The sequence below is a fragment of the Homo sapiens genome, chromosome 13 (assembly GCF_000001405.40).
Source record: "Homo sapiens chromosome 13, GRCh38.p14 Primary Assembly".
Taxonomy (NCBI): Eukaryota; Metazoa; Chordata; class Mammalia; order Primates; family Hominidae; genus Homo; species Homo sapiens.
Genome location: NC_000013.11, coordinates 52,875,639 through 52,881,638, shown reverse-complemented (window position 1 = coordinate 52,881,638; position 6,000 = coordinate 52,875,639). Strand labels below are relative to the sequence as shown.

Genomic DNA, 6,000 nt, shown 5'->3' with positions numbered 1-6,000 from the left:
TGACTGTGATGTTGAAAATCTTACACACTAAGCCTGTTTCTTCCCCTGTAAAATGGGGATAATACCACACAGACATTCATGAATCATACCTAAGGTAGAGCCAAGCATTTACCAGACCCTCGATAAATACTGGTTCTTCCACCCTCCTCACTCACACTCCTTTCCTTTCTACAGAGACTTTTAATGGAACTTATGTTACAAAGAAGAAGGAGGAGGAGAGTCGAGTCACATGCCTTTGTGGGTGCAGACACAGCTTGGCATCACAGCATTGAAAGAATCAAGAACACCTCATTCCACCATTAGTTTCCATGATTTTGTCCAGCAACCTGTTGACCAGGTAATGAGCCTGGAGTGGCCAAACTCAAAGCTTTGAAAGACCCTTTTCTGCATAATGTGTTCTCCTGCTCTCCGTGGACGGCTCCTTACTAGGGAGGAATTGCTCTGGGCCTGCCATGTTCCTGGGCTACAGTGGGGCTGGCAGATCTTCATCCTTCTGCACCTTCTTTTCCTTTATTCACCTCGAATCAGAAGCAAGTGAGCACCTAACAGGACTGACACTGGATTATGCATAAGTCCTTCTAAGAACCTAATGCTAGGCTCTTTGCTGAATAAAAACAATGTCTGTTTCCTTTCATCTTCTGAGAGACTCTACATCTCATTCCTCAGGGCTGTGCCCCCACTCCCCCAGCACGAAGTTCGCTACCTCTCTAGCTTTCAAGAGACATGAGGAAAGAAACTTTACAGCTCTTCTGCACTAAAATGTAATAACTTTCTCCACACGGCTGCACAAAGGATTTCTCTGGGAACAAGGCACCAAGTTTCACAGTTGCATAAATATAAACTAAAGTAGAAATCCATCTTGGAGTCTGCAGGCACACAGTCAACATTCCCATTTTTCAAGAGTCTCAAGGTCATTCTTCACTGTGTTCTTTTGGCTCGGCTTTAAAATTAAGCTGGTTAAATAATTCATGACATCATACCCATTAAATATGAGTATTTTCTACCAAAGGAAACTGCCTTTTTTTTTCCATTCACGGTGGAAGAGGCCCAGACAAGCCCCCGCCTAGGAAAGCAGTAACGTTCTGCAACAGCAACTGATGAAGTTTCAGAGAGAGGCTTGCAATTTCGTCTGCTGCTGCACACAACCAGTTTCATCATGAAAAGCCAGTGCCATATGCCAGAGGAGACAGGTTAAGCCTCTTAAATGTTCCTGACAACAATGAGCTTTCATTTGTAAAAAGTAAACATCTGCCTCCTGGGGAAATAATCTACAAAACAATGGGGATGGTTATTTGTTTGTTTGATTTATTGTTACTGCACTAGGGGCTGGGGAGTTTCAGACACTCACGGTATGTCACAATATGGATAATTTCTTAAAGATTAAAAAAATGTTGAAAGCTTTTTTAAAAGACATCAAAGAAGAGCTCTGCATGCTATAGATACTTACAGGGAAAAGCTGATGATTTTAAAGATTAGGAAAGAGAAGACCAGAATTCAGGCACTGGCTCTGCCACTACTAGCAATGTGTCTTGGGCAAATTATTTAACTTCTCTGGGCCTTATTTTCCACATCTGTAAATGAGGGTCAAAATGGAATCTATTCTACTAAGTCAAAGGGTTATTATGAGGCACTGATGATTTATGACTTTAGAAGTACTTTTTAAACTGTACAGAAAAACAAATGTTAAGGTGGTGGTTGGTATTAAACAGACAAAAGGGACATTTTCGCTCTACACTTTTAAAAGTCAATGGGAAGATTTATTACCTAAATGGAAAATGAAATTTCTTCTTACTTATGAATCTTCCTTGGAAATGGCTGCATCCCCCAGCTTAACATAGCTGAGTGTGCAGGTGACAATGATCATCTGACCTGTTAAAAGCAGGGACTATAGTGATCACTGGTGTGGGTTGGAAGAAGGAAAGGTAATCAGCATCATCGTCATTATCATCATCATCAACACCTATGGTTTGCAAACATCCTTTTGGTCATTTTTTAATTTGATACCCATAAAAGCTGTAAGTAGGTATTTTTAGTCTTGTCCAAAAATGAGAAAACTGAGATTCAAAGAGGCTTTAGATTATGCATAAATAGCAAGGACAGTATTATAATCCAAACCCAAGAGTAGAGAAAATAGTAATGATTGTCCCCTCCTTTTTTGTGCCCCACTGGGCCCCATACAGACATTTAGCATGGCACACATAAATGCCCCCTTACCTTGCTTTCTGTCTTTCTTCCCCTACAAACTGCAGAAGATTCTTGAATAAGAGCCAGCCTCTTGATCACATTTGAACCCCTAATCAATCCCTAACACAAAACTTGTCACATAGAGGCACCCGAAAGGATTTCTTGAAGGAATGGGAAAAGGAAGTGAAGAGTAAAAGAGGAAAATGATAGTGGTTTTGTTCTCTTTCCTTCTTTCTTTTTATTTATTTATTTATTTATTTATATTTTGCTTAACTTGTAGAAAAGTCTCTCTACTTCTGAAATTCCTTAGGCTGTGGGAACAGGCCCCTCTCTTGGGCTCAATTATGGAGTCCATAGTTGGAAGGAAGCCAGTGAGTGCAACAAGATTCAGGGAGGCTCCAGGCATGTGCAGCTGATTGGGGAGGCAGTGCAGAAAGGGGAAGTACGGCAAAATGCCTCTAGAAATCATTCCCAGAACCACTCAGGGAGATGTGTGCCAGAGTCTGATCAAAGCTGTCTACTATATTCTGGACCCAGACCACACAGGGCTTCGTCAGCTAATATAAGCAGCCAGCACTAAATACGGAGTTGGATAAGTGAACAGCATGGATGCCACAGTGTTGGTTCAGCATGTTCTGTATGACTCCCACCTTCAAGCAGATAATCAAATACATCTGCACTTAATGACACCTCTGAAGGAACAAAATGAGCTAGCTTGAGCCAATCATTTTTAAAAAAACATTTTACATAAAAACTTGCTGTAGAATTAACAAACTGCCACTGGCTTATACCTTTTCTCCTACTTCAAAACTGGGCACCCTTCCCAACTTCACCAACAGTCCATCACCCAGATTTACAACCATGATACTTTTTTTGCCTTAGGAAGTTTATAATTTGAAGATATCAAGCATATGCAAAAGTAGGGGAAAAAAGTATAATGCATTCTTGTGTACTCATAACCTAACCTCAACAACAATCATCTCATGGCCAGTCTTCTCTCACCAATAACCCACCCTCCCCACCATCTTCTTCCCTATATAGGATTATTTTTAATCAAATCCCAGACATTATATCATTCCATCCATAAATATTTCAGTATGTATCTCCGAAGATAAGAGCTCATTTTTTAAGCATTTCTGGCACCATTTTTAACCTTATTCTTCATCCTTCGCATCTAATTTATCAATAACTCATAATAGTTATTTTTCTGTCATGGTGTTTCCCTGTTGTTTGTTTGTATTTCTGCAAACCCCATCCTGATCTTAGTTCTCAGCTTAGAAAACCGAAAATACCGGCCGGGCGCGGTGGCTCACGCCTGTAATCCCAGCACTGGGAAGCCGAGGCGGGCAGATCACGAGGTCAGGAGATCAAGACCATTCTGGCTAATATGGTGAAACCCCATCTCTACTAAAAATACAAAACAAAATTAGCTGGGCGTGGTGGCGGGCGCCTGTAGTCCCAGCTACTCGGGAGGCTGAGGCAGGAGAATGGCATGAACCCGGGAGGCGGAGCTTGCAGTGAGCCAAGATTGCGCCACTGCACTCCAGCCTGAGAGACAGAGCGAGACTGCATCTCAACCAAAAAAAAAAAAAGAAAAGAAAACTGAAAATACCTCCTACTCAGTGTCCTGACCCTAAGCTACAAGCCATCTTGTGTTAAGCAGTTTTTATCATTGTTCATCAATACCCTCTTATTATCCCTTGTTCAAGAATCCATGGTGGAGACCTCTGTTTCCCATTATTGATATTAGACTAACCCTCCTACTAAAAGAAACTTGAAATTAGACATAACATATGAAGTAACTGTTCTCACAAATAACATACAAACTCACAAAACTGATTTCTTGAGAGATAGGAAATTGACAGGCTGAGATCCCATCTTTACACCAGGGGACAATTTCTCAACTGTGTGGTAGTAAGCGGGAGTCCAGGCAGGGCACAGCAGCCCTGGTGAGCTAAGTAGGCAGAGATCATAGCTTGAGGCAGTCGAAGTGGGTGGAATCTATGAGGCAGGGCACAAAATTGAGGGAGCTACACAGATGGATCTTCAGAAGTCCATGTGGGGATCTCCACAAGGGCTTAGCCAAGGACTGAATGGTATTTATGTAGGGAAAGTTTAGATAAGGCTGCTCAGAATGTGGCTTATTCTGGGATTGAGAGCAGAACAGAGATACCAGAGGATAAATAAGCTTTGTTGGGGGATGTTGGAGTTCCAGCTCTGCAAGAGGGGAAAAACCTCAGCAACACCTTGTTCACAGCCCAAGCATCCAGCCGAGACACCAGAAATGCCACTACCTGAGAGTAAGAATTACATCCCAGAGCAATGCTTAAAATAGACCTACCCTACCAAAGTTTAAAACCAAGCTTTCACAGGATCAACATGCCAGAAAAAAGATTGGAGATTGAGTCCCATGAGTTTAAAGGGCTTTGAAAACACCTTGGGATTTCCATGGCACTTCCTAAGAAAGCATACAACCAAGCTTATACAAGTTCTGTGTGATCTATTAGTCATTCCACTACCTACAAAAACAAAAATAAATGGAGGAATATCACAAAATTCAGTGTCTGCAACGATTTATCACAATATGCAGTATACAACCAAAATTGACATGCACACACATACACACACACACATACACACACACGTGAAATATAATGCATAATAAATAGAAAAAGCAGATAATATAAACCGACCTGGAAGTGTTCCACATATGTAATATATCAGACAAAGAAGCTATTATAAACATATTCAAATAATTAAAATATGTTCAAATTATTAAAGGAAAATTCAATCGTTTTGGGTTTCCTGTTTTTTGTTTTGTTGGGGTGGATTTTTTTTTTCCTTTTATTCCTGGAAAGCTGTGAAAACCAGACATTTTTTAAAAGAATATTTTTTAGAGATAGGATTTTGCTATGTTGCCGAGGCTGATCTTGAACTCCTGGCCTCAAATAATTCTTCTGCCTTGGCTCCCTAGTAGCTGGGACTACAGGTACATGCCCAGCTTTGAAAATACAATCTTAATGAATGAAGAGATATAAGCTTTCAGCAGAGAAAATGGAAACCACTAAAAAATAGAAACACTAGAATGAAGAGTACAGTAACTGAAATGAAAAATTTACCACATGGCTTTCAGCAAAATTAAAGTAGCAGAAGAAAAATTCAGTGAATTTAAATATGAATCAACAAACACTATCCCATCTAAAGAAGAGAGAAAGAGATTGGATAAAAATGAATAAAGCCTCAAAGACCTAAGGACAATATCCAACAGTCAAACATATGTAATTGGAGTCCCATAAGGAGAAGGTGATAATAGACCAGGAAAATTATATGTGGAAAATTATGTGAGCAAACAGATGAGCTGTGGGACAGAGCTGAGTACTTAGGCATTGGAGCCAATTAAAGCAACAAGCCAAAAATGAAAGGGTTAAGTCTTTAATAACTTACTGTGATGATATATGCAAAAGGCTAAAACAGGAAAACATTGACTCCCCTTTGTTTCATTCTTCTCTTGGAATGGTGTATCTGTTGAGGCTCATTTGGGGCAGAGCAGATGTAGAGAACGTCTCACTATAGACAGAGCCTCAAATAAAAGCCCCCAGCAGTTTTATGAAACAGGGGATCAGGAGGAGGGGCAGGGGGAAGGGCTAGAGTAGAGAGAATTGCTGGGTGTTGGGTCACAGTAGGCCAGGTGCAGTGGCTCATGACTGTAATCTCAGCACTTTGGAAGGCCAAGGTGGGTGGGTTGCTTGAGCTCACGAGTTCAAGACCAGCCTGGGCAACATAGCAAAAACCCATCTCTACAAAAAGTACAAAAGT

The 6,000-nt window shown here is 40.8% G+C and overlaps 2 annotated features.

Annotated features, from left to right (window-relative positions):
* Nucleotides 826-1,454: an enhancer, noted in NCBI's record as "OCT4-NANOG-H3K27ac hESC enhancer chr13:53454320-53454948 (GRCh37/hg19 assembly coordinates)". NCBI's record gives its function as "activates a minimal SCP1, AML or CMV promoter by ChIP-STARR-seq in naive and primed H9 embryonic stem cells {active_cell/tissue: H9 hESC(naive and primed)}" and the evidence as "EXISTENCE:reporter gene assay evidence [ECO:0000049][PMID:30033119]".
* Nucleotides 1,455-2,084: an enhancer, noted in NCBI's record as "OCT4-NANOG hESC enhancer chr13:53453690-53454319 (GRCh37/hg19 assembly coordinates)". NCBI's record gives its function as "activates a minimal SCP1, AML or CMV promoter by ChIP-STARR-seq in primed H9 embryonic stem cells {active_cell/tissue: H9 hESC(primed)}" and the evidence as "EXISTENCE:reporter gene assay evidence [ECO:0000049][PMID:30033119]".